The sequence below is a fragment of the Homo sapiens genome, chromosome 12 (assembly GCF_000001405.40).
Source record: "Homo sapiens chromosome 12, GRCh38.p14 Primary Assembly".
Lineage (NCBI taxonomy): Eukaryota > Metazoa > Chordata > Mammalia > Primates > Hominidae > Homo > Homo sapiens.
Window position 1 is genome coordinate 130986980 of NC_000012.12, and position 21788 is coordinate 131008767.

General features: G+C 52.6%; 1 protein-coding gene and 1 long non-coding RNA gene across 18 annotated transcripts in view, besides 2 other annotated features; one reads left to right on the top strand and one right to left on the bottom strand.

The window, feature by feature from the left end:
- ADGRD1 (adhesion G protein-coupled receptor D1) overlaps window positions 1-21788 on the top strand; it is a 187563-nt gene that overhangs the window by 33073 nt on the left and 132702 nt on the right. For 12 of the 16 annotated variants that reach the window (NM_001330497.2, XM_011538204.2, XM_011538206.2 and 9 more), the window contains 7 exons: window positions 116-370; window positions 4035-4099; window positions 5258-5413; window positions 13404-13463; window positions 16206-16323; window positions 17207-17317; window positions 18993-19068. In NM_001330497.2, the coding sequence (NP_001317426.1) occupies window positions 116-370; window positions 4035-4099; window positions 5258-5413; window positions 13404-13463; window positions 16206-16323; window positions 17207-17317; window positions 18993-19068 (841 nt within the window). The other 4 variants (XM_011538208.2, XM_047428719.1, XM_011538211.3 and 1 more) reach the window with 3 other exon arrangements.
- Window positions 2809-2978: an enhancer, noted in NCBI's record as "experimental_25923 CRE fragment used in MPRA reporter constructs". NCBI's record gives its function as "activates a minimal promoter by MPRAs in K562 erythroleukemia cells, with activity observed for the non-introgressed 12:131474418 variant allele {active_cell/tissue: K562}" and the evidence as "EXISTENCE:reporter gene assay evidence [ECO:0000049][PMID:34662402]".
- Window positions 3647-6997, bottom strand: ADGRD1-AS1 (ADGRD1 antisense RNA 1). Of its 2 annotated transcripts, NR_131950.1 has the most exons (3): window positions 6841-6997; window positions 5370-5489; window positions 3647-4158 (listed from the first exon to the last, which is right to left on the bottom strand). It is a non-coding gene; the product is annotated as an ADGRD1 antisense RNA 1 (long non-coding RNA). The 2 variants fall into 2 exon arrangements; NR_131951.1 differs by lacking the exon at window positions 5370-5489 and having other exon boundaries at window positions 6929-6997.
- Window positions 15417-15626: an enhancer, noted in NCBI's record as "active region_7354". NCBI's record gives its function as "activates an Ori minimal core promoter by ATAC-STARR-seq in GM12878 lymphoblastoid cells {active_cell/tissue: GM12878}" and the evidence as "EXISTENCE:reporter gene assay evidence [ECO:0000049][PMID:35858748]".

Genomic DNA, 21788 nt, shown 5'->3' on the forward strand with positions numbered 1-21788 from the left:
GTTAACAGTGATTGATCACCTTAAGAAAGAAGGATGTGCCTACAAACAGGAAAAACCTGTGCATGGGGAGCTCATTCCCACAGTACTCAGAATGGCGATCTTCACTCTTTTCCAGGCCCCTATTGGACTCATGTCCTATTTACATGGAAATCCAAGGAGGGCCTGAAAGTCTACGTCAACGGGACCCTGAGCACCTCTGATCCGAGTGGAAAAGTGTCTCGTGACTATGGAGAGTCCAACGTCAACCTCGTGATAGGGTCTGAGCAGGACCAGGCCAAGTGTTATGAGAACGGTGCTTTCGATGAGTTCATCATCTGGGAGCGGGCTCTGACTCCGGATGAGATCGCCATGTACTTCACTGCTGCCATTGGTCAGTGAGTGTGAAGGGCTGGGGCAGATCCGCTGTCTGTTCCCAGGGTCACCCTGGTATCGGCCTCCTTTCTCCCCACTCTCCCGTTGCAGCTATCAGCACTGCAGGCGTGAGATGTGTCCTAATGAACCTTATAAACACAGTTGTGTGTTAGAACACCTGTTCCCTGAGATAGAGGAGTTAATAATTTACTAGAGATGCTTTGAGATGAATATTGTTCTGTTGATCATCACGGGGTTTCAAGGTATATGTGATGGACGATTATAGAAGGCTTTGGAGAGCAAGTATTCCAGATCCATTAGTGTTTTTGATCAACAAATGTTAGCCGTGTGCCTCCCAGGGGATGGGCCCTTGGAAAGCCCCGAAGATACCTCTTCCTATTCAGCACAGGGCAGTTGTTCGGGGCAGGGGCCTGTGGGTAGGTGGACTGGGGTTCAAATATTCATTGTGCCATAATGAGCCGTGAGACTTTGGGAAGTCATTTTTAAAAACTGAGGTCAAATTCATATATCATAAACATAACCATTTAAAAATGAACAAGTCAGTACACTTGGCACATTCACGGTGTTATGCAGCTGCCACCTCTACCTGGCTTGGAAACATTTTCATCCCCCCAAAAGGAAACCCCGCACCCGGTGAGTACAGTCACTCCCCGCCTTCCCCTCCCCCAGACTCTGGCAACCACGAATCTACTTTCTGTCTTTACCTATTTTGGAGATTCCACATAAATGGAAATGTGTAACGTATAACCTTTTTGTCTTAATCTCTCAGATTTTTTTTTTGCTCTGTTAAATGGATAAAAATACTCCCTTTCTGGGGGAGGTGTTGATAATAAAGGCCATTAGCACAATGCCTGGCATATGGCAAGAATCCAGTGGTTCTTAGCTGTTTTTAAAATTAATATTCATCTTTCCCCTACAATTCCATTTTCATGCTGCCCACAAGTGAATGCACCATTTTTTCCCCAATGGGTTTCTTTATTTCCACATAAAATAATCTGCTAAAAAATGACAGACCCCATGTAGGCACTCACAAACATGTGGCTGCTGCTTCATTGGGACCCAGCACAGCGGATGTCAGGACCAGGAGAGAAAGGCCTGAGTTCCAGACGCTGCCTGCCCTCGTTCCGCTTCTGACGTTGAGTCCCTCAGTTGTTAGGACCCTATTGATTGCATGACAGAAAACCCAATTCAAGATAACTTTAGCCAAGAAAGCCATGTGTTTCTTTTTCATCTCTTGCAATGGAAGCTCTAGGGGAAACTGCTTCAGAACTGGTTTGGTCCAGGTGCTCACATGATGTCAGTGGGAATCTCTGCGTTTGACCCTGCCCTCTTTTGTTAGCCTCCTCCTGGTGCCAAGGTGGCTGTCATGCTTCTAGTGTTGCATCCTCTGCCCTCAGCAGCCTCTGTGGAAAAGAGGGAGCTTCTTTCTCTTATCACTTCCCATGCTGGGGCTGGGCAGGACTCACATTGGCTCACATTTATCCATGCACCTTCCATGAGTCATTTTCTGTGTCTGGGAGTGCAGAATATGCTGACTGGCTTAGGTCTCTGTCATAGTCCCCCATCCCCAGCCCCCCTGAAATGACAGTGAGGTCAGCCTTGTCCAGAACATGTGGAGGAGAGGGGACTCCCAGGGGACAATCAGGTATGCTGGTCTCAGAAGGAACAGATGCTGTGCAGGCAAAACAGCCTGTGTCCACTACAGCCTTCGACATTTACATCTTCCAGCTTCCACCCAGGAAAACGGAATGCATTCCCTCTCCTAGCACTGACAGAGGGCAAATGATAGCATCCTTCAGAAGAAAAAAATGGACCAATCTACTGCATTTTATTGCCTAGGGTTTAGAGTTGTCACTTTGAAACCAAGATATCACTTGTATTTATGTTATGAAAAGCTTCAAACAAAGCCTGCCCTCCTGACAGTTTACTTGTTTTAGTAACACTGGAAAGAGGTGCCCTTGTTTCTGGTTCTTGTTCTTGTCAGAGCAAACCCTCATCGCCAGAACCAGAACTGAACCAGAACTGGATCGACCAGAATCCCATTGCACCTGGTGACCTGGTCTGAAGACAAGGCATACGACGTAAAGCATGTATAGGAGAATGGCTCTTGAAGTCCCTGGAAGGCCTGTGTGGGGCCCCGTGTACCACTGCTCAGTGAGTCTGACACAGCCGAGTTCAGGGCAGCCATGCAGAGTGACAACTGGAACTGAAATCCAGTCTGCTCCCAGCCAGGCCGGGCCTCGGTGGGGACATGGCCACACAAGTAGGTAGAAGTCTTTCTTTACATGAAGACCTGTCTGCATTTGAAGCTGTGCTGGGGCTGTAGGTGCCCAGAGGGGGCTTTTTTCTGAGTGACCTGGGCAGAGGTGACACCTCCTCTAATCTCATGAGCCAGAGCTGGCACCATTTGCTGACCGGTCCGTCCAGGTGTGGTGGCCTTTCCTGATACAAAGGCACAGTGCTGACCGTCTGTCACCCTGGCCAGGTGTCCCCTCTCCCTTACCACTGGAATGGACAGCAGCTCTTTCTGTAGAGGAGGAAGAAGGTTATGTTCAGATACGTGTAATCGGAAAGCATGTACCTTTGGGCACTGGAAACACACTCAACACGTGGGAACTGGGACCGACTGAGGACCTGGCAGATTCTCATTTTCACCCCAGTCTCCATGGTCATCGCTTGCAAGCGTTGGCAGGATCGCTGGACCGATTTTCACTATCCCTCACTCTGCTTTGTGGACACACACGAGTTAAATGTGAGTTTGACATGACTCCTCTGTAACTCATTGGCACCTGAGGAGTGAATGTCACTCTGACTTGGAGAACAGAGCGGTTCTGGGGTCCAGTTCTCTCGGCAGCGCCACACCTTCTGCGTTCACCAGCAGCCCAACCCCACCCAAACCCAAGGGCTCAGTCACTCCTGCAGCCAGCAAGGGGTGATGATGTCATTTCCTCAGCTCATCCAAAGCAACTTCAAGAGATTTTCCAAAAATGAAGTAGAATATCTGGTTAAGTGTGTGTTCTCATCAGGAAATAGTGGGATTAGAAATAGTTGGGGGTGAACAGGCAGAGAACAGCAAATCATGGCTTAGTCTTCAGCCTTAAATGTCTTCATTGTTTGTAATAATTCATCATTAACCCCATGGGGGCTGAGTGCAAAGAATAGCTGGAATCCTTGGGCTAGAGGGGGCTCAGGAAGACAGTTTTCTCCACTGCTTTACTGGGGCCTATTCTCACTTCATCGATCTCAGAGGAGAGCGCTCCCAGGGCTCCTGTCTGTGCTGGCCCAGCGAGTTGTAGCACTCCTCATTTTATCTCCAACCAGTCTGGATGCAATTGAAATCTATTTCTTTTGGTTCTTTATTTATTTGAAATCGGTAATCCTTGTATAAAATCATCTTTTGATATGCTGACTTGCATGAAGGGTGTTCAAAAGCGATTGAGAATACAAATGGAAAAGTAATGTGACCTGGGAAAATCTATACGGTCGACTCAGTCAGCTGATTTCTTAGCCCATAATTTATCTCCAGCAACATTCCTACTCAAAACATTCTCAGACTCTCTTCCATGTGTCTGAAGCCAGTACATTTTTAACAAGGACAGGTCTTCCTCGTGGTGAAAAAAGTGACCATGTTTTAGTCCTTAATCCAGCATTGTTTCTTCCAGGAAAGCATGCTTTATTGTCTTCAACGCTGCCAAGCCTCTTCATGACATCCACAGCAAGCCCCGTGGTGAGCAGACACATCTTCCTTGGTCCCCCTTGCTGATGTTCTTCTGCTTGGGCTGTTTGCTGGGAGAGAGAAAATTCCATTAGGTGTCTGGGCTCTCTGTTATCGGCAGTACATTGTCTGGGAAGAAATAACAAATGGAGGGGAAGCCAACTGCAGTACTAATTCTTGGTGCTAAGAGTGACTGAAGGGAAAACTCTCAACTCCTGCCACCAGGAACCTCAGGTGCCCAAAAGGAAATACCGGGCTCATTCATGGGACGTGGGCGCCGTGAGTGGGGAGTGAGGAATCTGCCCTGCTTGGCTTCTCTCTATGCCCTTTTCGTTTGATGTTAGAGAAAAGTTCAATTCATATAGAAAAATTCTTGTCTGGAATTAGTGTTTGTAGTTAAAGAACTGTCCTTTCTTGAGAACGTTAATATAATAGTGAGTGCACAGACTCTGACCCATCTGCTTGGGTTCAAATCCAAGTTCTACCACTTATTTTTGAGTAAGCCTCTCTGCGCTTAGTGTCATCCATCAAATGGGGACTTATTTTGTAAGGTTGTTGTGAGGATGAAATGTTAATATAAGCAAAATATTCACAAAAGTGTCAGATACATGGTAGGAGCTATATTACTATCATGGTATAAAAACATTTGACCAGCTGGGTGTGGTGGTTGCACCTGTAGTCCCAGCTGCTCAGAAAGCTGAGACAGGAGGACTGCTCGAGTCCAGCCTGGGAAACACAGTGAAACCCCATCTCTATAAATAAAAAAAAGAGCAGCCAGGCACAGTTGCTCATGCCTGTAATCCCAGCAATTTGGGAGGTCGAGGCAGAAGGATCACTTGAGGTCCGGAGCTCGAGACCAGCCTGGCCAACACAGTGAAACCCTGTCTCTACTAAAAATACAAAAATTAGCCAGGCATGGTGGTGCACGCCTGTAGTCTCAGCTACTTGGGAGGCTGAGGCAAGAGACTCGCTTGAACCCGGGAGGCAGAGGCTGCAGTGAGCCGAGATTGCGCCACTGCACTCCAGCCTGGGCAACAGAGCAAGACTCAGTCTCAAAAAAAAAAAAAAAAATTAAAAAAAGCATTCGACCCAGAGTAGGACACATTAAACTTCTGTATAATATTTTGGTTTTAGTTCTTAGTAGAAACTCATGTTGCCAATTTCTTTCAGATGCCCACAGATGCCTACCATCCCATCATAACCAACCTGACAGAAGAGAGAAAAACCTTCCAAAGTCCCGGAGTGATACTGAGTTACCTCCAAAATGTATCCCTCAGCTTACCCAGTAAGTCCCTCTCGGAGCAGACAGCCTTGAATCTCACCAAGGTAAGGCTATTTGATGTCTGTGTCTGGTGGACCGGGCGTGGCACCCTTACCGGGACCATAGATGTTTCTGTTTGACCTAGATCGAGTTTAAAAAAAGCAGGAACTTTTACTGAAACGTTTGGGTTTCAGGCTTCTCATGAACAACCAGCTGGTGTGGCCCTCCTGGCCAGCTCTGTACAGCTCAGCGGAGCTTCCTTTATGGGCACTTGAGTCTTTGCTGTGGTTTCCCAATGCCCAACCTGCCTGGTCCCCCCTGTGCAGCCACCTGGCCCCCGCGGGCGTGTGGTTGGCAACTCCTAGACTAAATAAACTCTGCTGCCTCCTGGCAACAGGTAAAAGGTGGAGAGGCCTCACTGGCAGATCCAGCCGTGGGGCGTGGGCCACAGCCTGTGCACAGTGGGAGTCCCCAAAGCTATCTAAACACTTAGAGAATGCAACATTTATGGCATTAAAATCAAGATGGTTTCTCTTTCTGCTCCTCCAAATAGTTTCCAGGTGAAGGCAGAGGGTGGATCGTGGGCTCTCGTGGACTTGCTGTCTTCTGTTTTAGGGCTAGGGCTTATCTTGGTGGATGCGAAGACAGAAGGGGTTTTGAGATTGGCTCACCTTGAAAGCACAGCATATGGGTTAGGAGCAGGGTATATGAAGTCCCACGGCTGCACTGACCTTTGATCTGCAGTTACTCTGTGTCCTTGGTCAAGTGACCTAACATCTCTGCCTCACTTGGCTCCTGAGATGTGGAGGAAATAATAACAGCGCCCACTTCATCGGGGATAAGTGGGTTCCTATGTGCACAGAACAGTGCTGGGTACGTGGTGAGCACTTTTCAAGGGTTCTTAATTCTTACTGATTTCCTTGCTGAAGTCACACCCAAAGAAGCACATGCAGAGCCATGTGTTCAGGGACTTGAGACATCTTGGAATGGAGGGAGGTTGCCCTCAGCTTTTCTGTCCACGTAAGAGAAGTTAGACTTCTCAGATTTCATTCATTCATTCATTCATTCATTCATTCATTCATAGACCATACTAGATTCTGGGAGTGCAGGATGACCAAGTGCTAATACTCCCTGCTTTCAAGAGGCTCAGGGTTGAGGGAGTGATGACAGGTCATGGAGTCTGAGAGGGGCTTTAAAGGGAACTACATGGAGCTGCGGGACTCAGCGGTCCTGGAGTCACAGAGACCTGGCTTTGACCCCAGCTCCACCACTCCCGGCTCTGTGTCCGTGGGAAGGTTATTTAACCTCAGCACACCTGCTTCCCACTGTGACATGGGGACAGTGAGATCGCCCATGTGTCTCAGGTACTTCTGGCTGTGAGAAACAGGGCCCTCTGCTTAGCGGACTTAGACTTCAGGCCATGTACTCGCTTCAGGCAACAAGAGGCCCAGAGGCGGGAATCCTAGGAGTCACTAACTCAGTCTTCACTCACAGCAGGGGCTGGATAGGCACCGCCACAATTCTCTCGGCACTCGGCCCTTTTCTCGCCCAGCTGCAGGCCCCCAGCACCCTCGCCTTACCCTGGCACGTCCAGGAGGGAAAGAACGGGTCGGGAGACTCCCTCCTCGTCAGGGGGAAATCTTTCCCATGGTTCCCTTTGCTGAGACACCCCCTCACATCTCAGTGGCCAGAGCTGGGCCACATGACCACACCTGGGCCAATCACTAACCAAGGGGAGTGGGATTAGCAACCAGCTCAGCCAATCATGAAGGAGCTCTAGGGTGGGGCCAAGGCTGCCCAGTGTGGGAGCGCTTCCGGGCTCCGAAGGGAAGGACCCGCGGGGTGTTGGGTGGAAAGAGCGGGTATAGACAAGCTGGAAGGTCCTTATGCATGTATGCACAGGACCGGGCGTGAGGCCCCGAGACAGGGCTTGGTATGCAGTAAGTGCTTTATTAATACGAACACTCTTGTTTTTGTTGAGATGGGCTACAAGGGGTGACTGTGGCAGGCGGTGCCTTCTATGCAGTTAGCACTTAGTAAACACTCACACTCCGGGCACTAGTGCCCTGCCTGTAGCTAAGGTATGCAGTCGGGGCTTCATGCCCACTTGGCACTGGCACCCTCCCCTCTAGCCGTGGTACACAGTCGGCGCTCAATAAACACCCACTCTGGGCACGGGCGCCCTCCCGTCTGACTAGCCATGGGTACCCTGCAGCATCCTCAGGAATGTGCAGCAGACACTTAGCAGGCTCCCTCTGTGTTTCCGGGTGTCTAGGGAAGGAGGGAGTCCGAGTGAGGATAAATTAATTAGACGAATGTTGATTAAACACCTACTTGTGGGTGGGTTGCTTCATTAATTATAAAATGGATGGCTTAATGAGCCACAGTTGCATGCTCATGAGTGGGTTCACTGATGACTTTATTAATTAAGCACATTGTGCAGCCTCCGCTCTCTGCCAGATGCTGGGCTTGGTGCTGGGGATGTGTGATGGATGTGCCGGGCATTGCCCCTGCCCTCGTGGGGCTTGTGGCCAGGGGCATGTCCAGTTAGCTGGAAAGCTGCCTGTGGGATGCTGGTCCTAAAGGTCACTCCTCAGAACCTTCTAGAAGTGTGTGTCCTGCCCTAGGGCAGGCCGGAGCCACTGTGGCCCACCGCCTGCCTGGCTCTGTGATCTCTTCATCACGGGCTAGAAGGGTCTGTCTCGCACCTGACACTGCAGTGGCAGCAGTTAGCCGTGTCATTGTGGCCCACACCACCCAGCAGGTCCCTGAACTGAGTGTGATAGGGTGTGGCCAGGCTGGCAGGTCTGTGGGAAGAGTTGGTGGTGGGGCTGGCAGGAGTGAGACAGGGACAAAGTAGGACAAGCAGAACTTGGGGCCAAGGCCAGACAGGCACGCACCCCAGAAAAGGCCAGGCAGGGCTGCCCTCTGCGGAGCCCAGGTGTGGGGGCTGGGGTTGTTGGGTGGGGATGGCGTATGCGCAGTGAGGTGGGTGGAGGCCAAGGCAGCTCCGTATCCTTATTGGCTGTCTGGTTTGCAACACAAGGCAATGCAGGTCTACACAGGAAACACTTTCTTTTTAAGCTTGGTCACTTTTACTTTCCTTGCTGCTTTTCTTCCTTCTCTCCCTCAGCTATACCTGAGAGTCAGAGGTTGCAAACTCATGTGGCTTCAGGGGCCAAAGGAAATGGATGGCATGGGCCAGACAGAGCAACAGTGGGGAGTAGAGAGAGGTAGTGGCAGCCTGAATGCACCGCCTCCTCTGCAGCCAGCAGTTGCTAGCAACTCAAGGCCACCTGTCTGTAACCGTTAGGGTGACTGATTCTGATTTTGCAAGAAAAACCCCAGACCTGGATTTTTAAAATGGAACATCTCCCAATTTTAAGAAATGGGCAGTGAACTGAAATCTTTTTTTTTTTTCAACCTGTTTTATTTTATTTTTTTTAATTTTTTATTGATCATTCTTGGGTGTTTCTCGCAGAGGGGGATTTGGCAGGGTCATAGGACAATAGTGGAGGGAAGGTCAGCAGATAAACAAGTGAACAAAGAAACAAGTGAACAAAGGTCTCTGGTTTTCCTAGGCAGAGGACCCTGCGGCCTTCCGCAGTGTTTGTGTCCCTGATTACTTGAGATTAGGGAGTGGTGATGACTCTTAACGAGCATGCTGCCTTCAAGCATCTGTTTAACAAAGCACATCTTGCACCGCCCTTAATCCATTTAACCCTGAGTGGACACAGCACATGTTTCAGAGAGCACAGGTTTGGGGGTAAGGTCATAGATCAACAGGATCCCAAGGTAGAAGAATTTTTCTTAGTACAGAACAAAATGAAAAGTCTCCCATGTCTACTTCTTTCTACACAGACACGGCAACCATCTGATTTCTCAATCTTTTCCCCACCTTTCCCCCTTTCTATTCCACAAAGCCGCGATTGTCATCCTGGCCCGTTCTCAATGAGCTGTTGGGTACACCTCCCAGACGGGGTGGTGGCCGGGCAGAGGGGCTCCTCACTTCCCAGTAGGGGCGGCCGGGCAGAGGCGCCCCTCACCTCCTGGACGGGGCGGCTGGCCGGGCGGGGGGCTGACCCCCCACCTCCCTCCCGGACGGGGCGGCTGGCCGGGTAGAGGGGCTCCTCACTTCCCAGTAGGGGCGGCCGGGCAGAGGCGCCCCTCACCTCCTGGACGGGGCGGCTGGCCGGGCGGGGGGCTGACCCTCCACCTCCCTCCCGGACGGGGCGGCTGGCCGGGCAGAGGGGCTCCTCACTTCCCAGTAGGGGCGGCCGGGCAGAGGCGCCCCTCACCTCCCGGACGAGGCGGCTGGCCGGGCGGGGGGCTGACCCCCCCACCTCCCTCCCAGACGGGGCGGCTGGCCGGGCGGGGGGCTGACCCCCCCACCACCCTCCCGGACGGGGTGGCTGGCCGGGCAGAGGGGCTCCTCACTTCCCAGTAGGGGTGGCCGGGCAGAGGCGCCCCTCACCTCCCGGACGGGGCGGCTGGCCGGGCGGGGGGCTGACCCCCCCACCTCCCTCCCGGACGGGGTGGCTGGCCGGGCAGAGGGGCTCCTCACTTCCCAGTAGGGGCGGCCGGGCAGAGGAGCCCCTCACCTCCCGGACGGGGTGGCTGGCCGGGTGGGGGGCTGACCCCCCAACCTCCCTCCCGGATGGGGCGGCTGGCCAGGCGGGGGGCTGACCCCCCCACCTCCCTCCCGGACGGGGCGGCTGGCCAGGCAGAGGGGCTCCTCACTTCCCAGTAGGGGCGGCCGGGCAGAGGCACCCCTCACCTCCTGGACGGGGCGGCTGGCCGGGCGGGGGGCTGATCCCCCACCTCCCTCCCGGACGGGGCGGCTTGCCGGGCGGGGGGCTGACCCCCCCCCCCGGACGGGGCAGCTGGCCGGGCAGAGGGGCTCCTCACTTCCCAGTAGGGGCGGCTGGGCAGAGGCGCCCGTCACCTCCCGGACGGGGCAGCTGGCCTGGCGGGGGCTGACCCCCACCTCCCTCCCGGACGGGGTGGCTGCCGGGCGGAGACGCTCCTCACTTCCCAGACGGGGTGGCTGCCGGGCGGAGGGGCTCCTCACTTCTCAGACGGGGCGGCTGCCGGGCGGAGGGGCTCCTCACTTCTCAGACGGGGCGGTTGCCAGGCGGAGGGTCTCCTCACTTCTCAGACGGGGCGGCTGGGCAGAGACGCTCCTCACCTCCCAGATGGGGTCACAGCCGAGCAGAGGCGCTCCTCACATCCCAGACGGGGCGGCGGGGCAAAGGCGCTCCCCACATCTCAGACGATGGGCGGCCGGGCAGAGACACTCCTCGCTTCCTAGATGGGATGGCGGCCGGGAAGAGGCGCTCCTCATTTCCTAGACGGGATGGCGGCCGGGCAGAGACGCTCCTCACTTTCCAGACTGGGCAGCCAGGCAGAGGGGCTCCTCACATCCCAGACGATGGGCGGCCAGGCAGAGACGCTCCTCACTTCCCAGACGGGGTGGCGGCCGGGCAGAGGCTGCAATCTCGGCACTTTGGGAGGCCAAGGCAGGCGGCTGGGAGGTGGAGGTTGTAGCTAGCCCAGATCACGCCACTGCACTCCAGCCTGGGCACCATTGAGCACTGAGTGAACCAGACACCGTCTGCAATCCCCGCACCTCCGGAGGCTGAGGCTGGCGGATCACTCGCGGTTAGGAGCTGGAGACCAGCCTGGCCAACACAGCGAAACCCCGTCTCCACCAAAAAAAAACGAAAACCAGTCAGGCATGGCAGGCTGAGGCAGGAGAATCAGGCAGGGAGGTTGCAGTGAGCCGAGATGGCAGCAGTACAGTCCAGCTTCGGCTCGGCATCAGAGGGAGACTGTGGAAAGAGAGGGAGAGGGAGACCGTGGGGAGAGGGAGGGGGAGGGGGAGAGGGAGAGGGAGAGCAGAAATCTTAAATGAAATTATGTGCAGACCAAATACAAGACATCTACGAGGCAGGCTCAGCCTGTGTGCCATCCCTGTGGGACCCCTGGTGTAGACCTGTTTTGGGGTATCTGGCTGGGGACCCTGGGGATGAGTCATGCAGATTTACCCAAAACCCCAGTGATCTCTGACCTGATGAGAAGTCAAAGTTTTTGGCATCCATTATACAAGTTAGTTTCTTTCTTTTTTCTTTTCTTTTCTTTTCCTTTCTTTTTTTGAGATGGAGTCTCGCTCTGTCACCCAGGTTGGAGTGCAGTGGCATGATCTTGGCTCACTGCAACCTCTGCCTTCTGAGTTCAAGCGATTCTCCTGCCTCAGCCTCCCAAGTAGCTGGGACTACAGGCATGCACCACTACACCTGACTAATTTTTGTATTTTTAGTAGAGATGGGGTCTCACTATGTTTCCCAGGCTGGTCTTCAACTCCTGACCTCAAATGATCCACCCGTCTCAGCCTCCCAAAGTGCTGGGATGACAGGTGTGAGCCACTGCGCCCGGCCCCATTCTACAAGTTTCCATGGTGTCCTGGCTTCTCACCTGTCCACTAGCAGCTGGACGGGAAAATGGCAAGGGGTCATTTCCTGTACTGTACCGTGAGGCAGTGATTAGCTACGTGTGGCTCGTCCAACTAGAGATGTGCTGTGAGTGTAAGATGCACACTGGATTTCTAAAACTTTGTGCAAAGAAAAGGGAAATATCTAATTAGTAATTTCATATGGATTCTGTGTTGAAATGACAATATTTTAGGTTTTTGAGCTAAGTAAAAATACATTATTAAAATTAGTTTCACCTTTTTTATTCTACTTCTTAAAAATGTGCTTGCTGCTAGAAAATTTAAAATGATAGATGTGGCCCATATTATGTTTCTGTGTGATAGACTGCTCTGGATCAAGAGTCGGCAAACTATGGCCCTCGAGTCAAATCTGGCCCGTTGCTTGCTTTTGGAAATAAAGTTTTATTCATGCATGCCCATTTGTTTGCATATTGTCTGTGGCTGCTTTTGCACTGCCATGGCAGAGTTGAGTGTTTGTGACACAGGGCGTGACCCATGAGGCCTGACCTCGTTCCTGTGTGACACTTTAAGAAGTTTGCTGCCCCTGCTCCGGCTCAGTGAAGGCAGGATGGTGATTATTCCCTATTTCATTAATTCTTAAGGCCTTGCACTCTAAGGTCTCAAAAAGCATTTATCTCATAAAGATAAACAAATGCATGATGAGTTTTGATGATGTGCTCTAAGAATTTAGTGTCTCAGAGTGTGAGGAAGAACGTGAGTATTCTGGAGATGGCGGTTTGGTGGAAATATGGGAGAGTTCGGTCAGCCTCTAAGTTTAATTCTGATGCTGATAGTTGGAGACAAACAGTTAAGACTGTGTGTGAATAATGCAGATGAGTGAAACGGACATGAGCGTATGAGGCAGTGGGGATGGCGGGGTCTGGAGTGGGCTGGGGACACATCCACTAAGCCGGTGCCGCTCAGCTGTGGTCAATTATGGTTTTATGGGAATGTGGGCTAAGGGGTGTCCAAGAGTCTGCTTTTTTAAAACGAAGTAGAAAATTCACGTTTTCATTTAAGTCTCCTGATTAGGAAACAGTAGAAATTAATTTCATTGTTTCCTTAGAATAATAGTGAGCCGAACCAAACATGGTTTTAAGGTGACCTGACCAAGGGCCTGAGTAGCTTCTGCTTTCTAGAGAGGTCATTTTCAGTGAACACGAGTGCTTCCACGTCAGTTTGGTTTCTCGCCCCAAGAAAAGCGCATCCAGCAGGTCATGATTTTCCCACACGTCTCTCCACTCCACGGGCTTTCACTGAGGGCCTGCCGTGTCCCCCAGGCGCTGTGCTAGGGCCCCTGCCGTCACTGAGCAGTGTTCATTCTGACGTTCCGGTGCTGGTCACTGACTCGACAGGGCTGCCACAGGAGCAAATAAGATAACGTCCATAAAAGGGCTTCGTAACATATCATGTGGTCCATGACTCAGCTATTTTTGTTGACTGCCGTGCATAAAACTGAACTGGTGGTTGATAGAGACCCATTGGAAGATGCGGGGAAAACTGAAGGTCTTCAAGTTTGTTGCCTAAGGACAGGTGCTGAGCAGTGTCATTTTGTCCACCTTTAGACCTTCTTAAAAGCCGTGGGAGAGATCCTTCTACTGCCTGGTTGGATTGCTCTGTCAGAGGTAAGAGAAAAGAACATGGTCGGTCATGGTGGCTCATACCTATAATCCCAGCACTTTGGGAGGCCAAGGCGGGTGGATCACTTGAGGTCAGGAGTCAAGACCAGCCTGGCCAATGTGGCAAAACCCCATCTCTACTAAAAATACAAAAATTAGCCAGGCGTGGTGGCGGGCACCTGTAGTCCCAGCTACTCAGGAGGCTGAGGCAGGAGAATTGCTGGAACCTGGGAGGCGGAGGTTGCAGTGAGCCGAGGTTGTGCCACTGCACTCCAGCCTGGGCAACAGAGTGAGACTCTGTCTCAAAAAACAAAAAAAAAAAAAAAAAAGAGAGAGAGAGAAAAGAACATTTTGATCTTCAAAACGTATGTGCCTCGGGAACCATTTTGTCTTCCTAGAAGTGGCATAATATGGCCCAGTCACATCCACAAAAAGAATGATGTATCTCCCAGTCCTGACATCTGGGATATAAGAGCTCATTTTGAGTAGACATGCAACTGATTCAGAATGCCTTGTCCTCTAAGGCAAAAGAAATGCACGTGTGTCAGTAATGTGTTACTGTCCTAAACATGGAAGAAGGAAATGATGGTTTTTTCCCCATGAGAAATGTGTACTTGGTTCATCCTGGTCATTTCATGTAATATGTATTTTTTTTTTCTTTACCATCCCATCATTCTTGAATGACAATAGAAAGCTTTTTATGTTAAAAGTCACTGGATTTAGTAAGAAAAAGGAGAATACATGACAATATGTACTTCATGATTAAGGTGCAGAAAAAAAGCTTCTCTTGTTCTCTTTACTCAAAATAGCTAGAAAGGAGAATGAAATAATTTTTCCTATATTTCTGAAAATAACTTGATTGTACTTATTTAAAAAGAAAACAAATAAATAGTTGTGGAGAAGTTAGAAAATGCAGATAATAAAAAACAAAATAAAAATCACTTCAAATCCTAAAACTGAGATTATTAACATTCTTGTATATTTCCTTATAGTCTAGTTTTCAATTCACTTATATATGTATTCAACAGATATACTGTATATTTGACTTAATTTGTTTTTCCTTAATTATGTCAATAACACTTTCCAATGATACTAAGTATTCACCTGCAACACTGTATTAGTCAGGACAGGCCAGGGTGCACTGCAGTAACAAATAGATCCCTACATCTCAGTGGCTCAGCACAGTAGAAATTTACTTCTCTGCCATGCAAAGTCCAGAGTGAGTCAGAGGAGCCTCTTCTCCACCCAGATACTCAGGGATCCTGGCTCCATCTGTCTTCCGGTGCTGGCTTCTCAATATGTGGTTTCCAAGGTTGCCAGGCAGGGGCAGAGAAGGGTGAGGAGGACTCTTAACTGCCTTGGCCCAGAAGGGTCCCAACCACACCACCATGATATTAAAGTGCTCATTCTCCTAAGCCCTGATAATATTTGAAAATGTTTGCCAGTTTGAGGGCAGAAGTGGCATTTTATTCTCTCATTATTAATAAGATTGCGTTAGAGTTTACATTTGATAAACTTTTGTTTGAATAATTTCAAGTGGAATGAGATTAGGTTTAACAGTGGCAAAGGGAGAAAAAAAGGCTCAAGAATGTAAGATGGATACAGTCTTACCTAGAAAACAATTCCTTTTTAAAAGGTTTGACCTCTTTCATGATTTCAAGGGGACTTTGTGTCCAAAGCTGCAGGCTGGGAACACCCAGAGGACAGCCAATGGAAGTATCCAGGCAGACGTATTTTGTGCATGATTTTAATTAACTGCTTTTGAATGCAAAATATGCAAATCTGTTACAAAATATGAATAACCAGGAAACTGTCCAGACTCAGGCAGGGTCCAATATGCATTAAAGAGAATGCATGAATCGGTCTCTACCCCACAGAACTGCATGCCAGAAACACAGACTTCCATGTGCTTAACTGGGCCTGGTGACTGAAATCAGGCTATGGGCCTAAAAGCAAATATCTAAAATTGGCCTCAGCATTCTATTTCCAGCTCATGAGGCTCTTCTGAAGTGCGTGTTTGTGGGAGAATGCTGAGGACTTAGCAGCAGGCAGGTGCTTCCCCAGAAAGGCAGGAAGAGAAGCAGTGAAGGCAGAGCTCACTGGCCCAGCTCAGCAGGGCTTAAGAGAGGCCTCTCCCCTGGTGATGTGTGTCTGAGGATGAGGGCCCCCTGCTTTCTTGGGGGCAGTGTCTACCAGGATCCTCTGCTCTGGAACTCAGAAAGGAAAGAGGGCTCTTGGAGTAGAAGGCAAGCTCCTGGGAAGTCAAGGCAGCCAGAGATAGCTCTGGGTGCCGGCACCTCGGAAGCAGCCACCCTTCATGGAGAAGGGGACAGAGCTGCTGGTGTCCCCATCCCAGAGTGGACCTGGGGGCGATCAGCCCCTCCTCGTGAAGCACAGGGAGGTAGGGGGAGGGTCTGGGATGTGCTGAGGGTCCCTCTGTGAGTTCAGGGAGGAGGCAGGACCAGGAGTTGGGTCCCCTCAGTCCCCGTGTCTAAGTGTAGAAATGCAGGAGCCGGCGATGGCTGGGGTGATGGGTCCACCTGGGCTGTGTCCATGCTCCGTGAGCTCAGTCGGGTGTGTGGCCTCCGTGTGGTCCCCTCCTGATCCATGGGAAGGGGCAGTTGTGTGACTTCTTCCTCCCTCGTGGCCAACGTGGGGAAACTTGATTTTGTGTGCCTGGTGCACCTGCCTGGTGCCCTGGCTGAGTGGGGTGGATTTTCATGGCTCCTGGTGCTTGTGTTGCTGCAGGACAGCGCCGTGGTACTGAGTCTCATCGACACTATTGACACCGTCATGGGCCATGTATCCTCCAACCTGCACGGCAGCACGCCCCAGGTCACCGTGGAGGGCTCCTCTGCCATGGCAGGTAGCTGTCGCTTGTAAGGGTGAGCCACATGGCAGGGGCGGGGGCTGGAGGCTGCGTTTCACTGCCTGTCTTTTTACACCCTTAGCAGAGAGCCATGCTCTGTCTCCCTGACTGCTCTGCCTGGCACAAACCACATTTGGAAGGAAAACCCGTGGTCAGATGAGGGCAGGTGTGTTCGGCCATGATATGCAGATGGGGCCCATAAGCTTTTCCCAGTGACTTGGGAGCCAAGCTCCTGCCCTGGGATGATGGTCTCGGTTCAGAGCAGGAGGCAGAAGCAGCAGTGCCTGCAAGAGTCTGTGGAATAAAAGGGGTGGCCTCGGGTTTCTGGCGTCAGCTTGCTCTCAGCTGGGCTCCAGGGTAATTGTCACAGTTGTCTAATTGTAGAGGCAGAGGTGATGACCTTTCGATTTTAAAAGTCTTTACCAGGAGTGCATTATCCTGCTGATACTTCGCTGCAAGAGCCGAGCTGGGGAAAATGGGCTGAAGCTACAGGGGTTAGTTTAGTCGCAGTTTGTTGGCCGTGTTGCCCTCGCCTGCTGCGCTTGGGGAGGAGCCGATGTCACCGCATCGCTGAGCACAGCCCATCCTTGCACCGGCCTTGAGAGCTGGGGGCTGTGCTGGGGCGGAGGGCGCCCCAGGTGAGGAGCCGCGCGCCCGTGGGCCGGAATGCTGAGCCTCCCCGTGGCAGTCACTGCCTGGGCTCTTCATTGCTTTACCCTTTTTTTTTTTTTTTTTGAGGCCATGCTTTCTAAAGGTAATTATACTTCCCGTGGGGAGCTTGTCCTGTCAAAAAAGAAAAGCAGACGGGGTTTTGCAGTCTGATTTCCTGCAGCCTGTGAGCTCTGACGGGACTTCCGCTCTCTCGCTCCTTCCACCGCAGAGTTTTCCGTGGCCAAAATCCTGCCCAAGACCGTGAATTCCTCCCATTACCGCTTCCCGGCCCACGGGCAGAGCTTCATCCAGATCCCCCACGAGGCCTTCCACAGGCACGGTGAGTGTGGCTGCGCTGGACTCCCTTCCGGGGCGGCTCCCTCAAGTCTTTCTGAAGAGTCCCCAAGCTTTGCTGGGTGCCCACCGCGCCAGGGAGCTGCGGTGCTCCCCCGGGCCGCCTGCGGTGCTCCCCCGGACTGCCTGTCCTGTCCTGCAGGAGAGGGACTGTGGGCAGCCGTTCTCAAAGCGTGTCCTCAGGCCACCCTCATGGACACGCTTGAGAGGTTCCTTAGTGATGCTAATGCTGTGCCCACTCCAGGCCACTGAACTGGAATTTGGGGTGGGGTCTGGGAGCATCTCAACCTGCTCGCCTGGGGAATCCGGCCCACTGGGAAGTCATCCTACCTACATCCTCCTAAATCGGCACACACCTGGTCAGCCGAAGATAAAAAGATGGGGCCACCTCCCCTTCCTGCTCAGGTAGCTGTGGGCCAGGTGAGGGGTTCATCTGTTCAGGAACCTGGGGTTCCACTCCTGTGCAGGCCTCAGTCGAGTCACATAATAAAAAATGAGAGGCTCAGGGGACCCCCTGCCTCTGACCAGGGAGCCCTGTTGGGAGCCCAGATGGCCCTGGCTATTTTTTGCTACAATGACCGTCACCCTCTCTGGTTCCTGGAAAAGCGAATATGACTCTGCAGACATCTCCTTCCTCTCCTTCCCTCCCTGGGGACCTCGGGCAAGCAGGGGAGAGCCTCAGATTTTTGCCCCTGCCACCCTGGCCAGAGGCCACGCCCCCTTCCCAGGGTTCTGCCTTAGGGATGGGGACCAGGACAGCCCTCATCAGACATCTCTCTCTGCAGTGGGGAGCCTGTCTCTGCACCCACCACCATCTTGATTGTCTGTGGGAAAGGTGCCCCGACTGGTTCTCTGCCCTGTCCTCAACTAGCATGATGTCAGGTGTGCCCTGCTCCTAGGGCAGAGGCAGGGATGTCCCTACCCCAGAAGCCAAGGGAAGGGCCCAGGGACGATGCCACCTTCCTCCAGCATCAGCAGGGAGGGCCCAGGGATGGTGCCGACATCTACCAGCATCTCCTGGCCGCATGATCTGCTGGGAGTGCCCTGATTTCCAATCCTGGCAGAGCCGTGGCCGAGCCATGGAGTGAAATAGCAAAAGCACATGTGACCCTGCTTCATGGCTGGTTATAATAGAGGTGTGACCAGGTGAAGGCATACAGACTTCCCAGTGGCTGCTGCCCCCTTGAAAACCTGCATTCTGCCTCACTCAGTGTTGCCCTAAATCCTCTGCGTGTGGAGGGCAGACGGGATGCACTCGTGGGGCAAGGCTGGAGGCTGGCACTGCCCCCTGTTGACTTGCAGGAGCTGTCTCCCTGCAGGGGCTCTGAGACTGTGTGATGCCCTGGGTGAGCCTGGCTCTCCCTGCAGGGGCTCTGAGACCGTGTGATGCCCTGGGTGAGCCTGGCCCTCCCTGGGGGGTTTCAGCCTCCACATGTCTGGAGCTGGCTCAGGGGATGGAGCAGGGATCCACCGTCACGCTGCTGAGTTGCTGCAGAGTCTTTGTCCTTGCAAATTCTGCCCGAGTGTCCTTCACTTCCTTCTCCCCAGAGGGTTCTTAGGAGTGAGGGGCAGCACCATGCATGGCGGGGCGTGGGGCTTTGTGTTTTTCCTGCCTGTGGCCTGGAGCGCTGACAGCGCCTGCCCCTCTGCTCTCTCTGCAGCCTGGAGCACCGTCGTGGGTCTGCTGTACCACAGCATGCACTACTACCTGAACAACATCTGGCCCGCCCACACCAAGTGAGTCTCGGGGGTGCTCAGCTCAGGGGCGTGGGTGTGCGTGGGTTTGCTGGGTGGCTGGCCACAGGGATGCCCGCCCCACACGCACAACACTGAGAACTCTGGACACGAGTACCGGGCGCTTCACTGCTCGGGCAAGGAAACGTGAAGCGTTTTGAAGGCCACTTGGGAACTGCAAGGCTGGGGCCAGGCTGGTGGAGTGGAGGTCAGGAGCACGGGCCAGAAGACCCTACCCACCCGCCTGGACAGAACTGTGTGACCTTGGGCAAGGGACTTAACCTCTCTGAGCCTCAGTTTCCACTGCTGTGTAATGGAAGACAACAGACCTGTCTGTGTCAGTCATGGGCAAACACACAGATGGGCAAAGCCATTTCACATCAGCTTAAGTGGAAGGCCAGGAAACTGAGGGCTCAGGGGACTGAAAAGGGAGGAGCAGGTGGGCCTCAGTCATGGCTGGACCCGGGGACCCCGAGGACGCCGTCTAGACCTGCTCTGTCTGCCCCCTGCCTCTGCTGTCCTCCAGACAGGCCCCTCCATAGGAGCAGAGCTGGCTCCTGCAGCATCGCCTCATGTGGGTTTGGGTCCTGAGAACCCAGAAGGAGAGCAAGGAGGGTGGGGACCATGAGGGGGGCGGCGAGGCTGGGGAGGATGAGGGAAATGAGGAGGGAGGGGAGGGGATGCCTCTTTCCTGAGGAATGTAGTCCTAAATTTTGTGATCTGGAGGAAACACCGTCTTCTGCGTCAGATTTCTTGGGGAAAGCCTGCATGCTTACCGATTTCCTCCTAATGAAAGAAAGTGGGGGGCCTGCCACTCTTTATGTGTGATTTCCAAAATTCTTCAGGAAAATGGTCAAAGAAAAATGCAATCTATTTTCCTCAAAAAGATGCCATCTCAGTTATTTGGGGAGATCTTTCCAAGATAGTGAATGAAAAGGTGACCCTTCCTTGGCCCCTCCTGCTGAAGTTTCCACCAGGAAGCTGGCCTTGCTGTGAAATATATGAGACGTGCATTTGTGAGGTGTCGCTGTGTCTTGTGCGGCCACAGTGAGAACCTGCGTGGGAAAGCGGCATCCGTGCCACGGCCCACAACGTCACAAAGGCGGGAGGATTGCTTCCAGATGCAGGGTGCACACATTTCAGGGGCAATTCACTGTGACCACCAGAATCTGACTCCAGCCAGGTGTCAGCCAGCTCTTTCATGAAGGGCCAGCTTGTAAATCGGCTTGGCTTTCCAGAACTCTGCCCTCACAGGGTGAAGGCAGCCAGAGACACTACGTGGGGAAATGGGGGAGTGGCTGCCTTCCAATACAGCTTTATTTACAAAACCAGGCGGCCAGCCCAAGAGCTGCAGTTTGCAGATCTTTGCCAGACCCTCTATTAGATCAGCGCTGGCAGGGATGGGCAGAGGAGAGGCCGGCGGGGCCTGCTCTGGGGAGCCCACAGCCTTGCAGATGGAAGACAGTCTGTCTCGCCTGTCCCCAGGGCCTCAGCCTTCACTCTCCCTCTGCTGTCCTCACGGACCCAGGTGTCTGCAGACAGGACACTGGAGCCCCAGGATGCAGGCCACTGTGTCCCAGAACAATGCAGCTAACTCTGACGTCCCCCTGCAAACCGAGGGCCTGGAAATTGGACAGCCAAGTCATCCCTGGTTCGTCAGCATTGACACCAGCCCCACAACATGTTCCATGAGCAGCACATTTACGTGCTGAAGCCAAAGCAGAACTGGCTGTGCAGCGATGGAACATGTTTTTCATTTGCAGTGAAGTTGGATCTTCAGCTCAGGTGAAGCTCTCTTCAGCACTTAGTGCAAAGATGCCTTGTCATCAAAATTCACCTGGAAAAAAATCATGCAAACAGCTCATCCAGTAAAGTCTCTGTACTTGTTACATTGTACCTGTGTACCTTGTACCTGTAGCAGAAGAGGTGGACGGAAGTGGAGGGGACAAAGAGTTTGGTTCACAGGTGCCCTCCTTATCTGTGTGACCCTGGGCAAGTGACTTGAGCCTGGAGGCCTGTGTTCTCCTCTTAAAACAGGAGTAATAATAGCACTGATTTCTGAGGATTGCCAGGAGGACTGAATGAGTTAATGGTGTAAGTAGGGCTTGGTTTTCTTAAACATGACATACAAGTGCCTGCTTTTGTGATTTTGTAAGCTGATTGGGCATTTGTGCCATTTTGCCTTTGAGGTAATTATCAAATCCTGGGCACGATGAGAAGCAGGTTAGTGCAGCTGCCGTGCGGGCAGCACGTTTATGTGCGCACATATGCCGGGTTCCTGCCAGCCTGCAGGGGACTTCCCTCCGTCTTTGTCTTTGTATTGTGTGCTGTCATCCTCATACATCCGCAGTGTGTTGTGAGGATGAAAGGATGCTTTGGTGCCGTAGTGTCCTTTAATTTCTTCTCCAGGGATGAGGGTGAGGGTCTAAGTCAGTACGTGAGTCTCAGTGCACAAAGGGTGGGGCCTGGGCCGGAAGGAACTTTTGTCTCCACAGCCAGCCCCAGGCAGACCATTCCAGGGCTCCTGTGATGACGGAGGGGATGATATCTGACCACCCACGGCCCGGTGGGGGCTTAGCTGCTTCTTGCCCGGCTGCTTGTACCCCTAGGATCCTTTGAGTCTCACTCGCTGCCTGGCCCCGCAATGATGGAGACTGTTCAGCTTTTACGGGTGCTCGTGCTAGGCTCAGCCAGCACCGGGACAGCCGGTTCCTCCAGGTGGA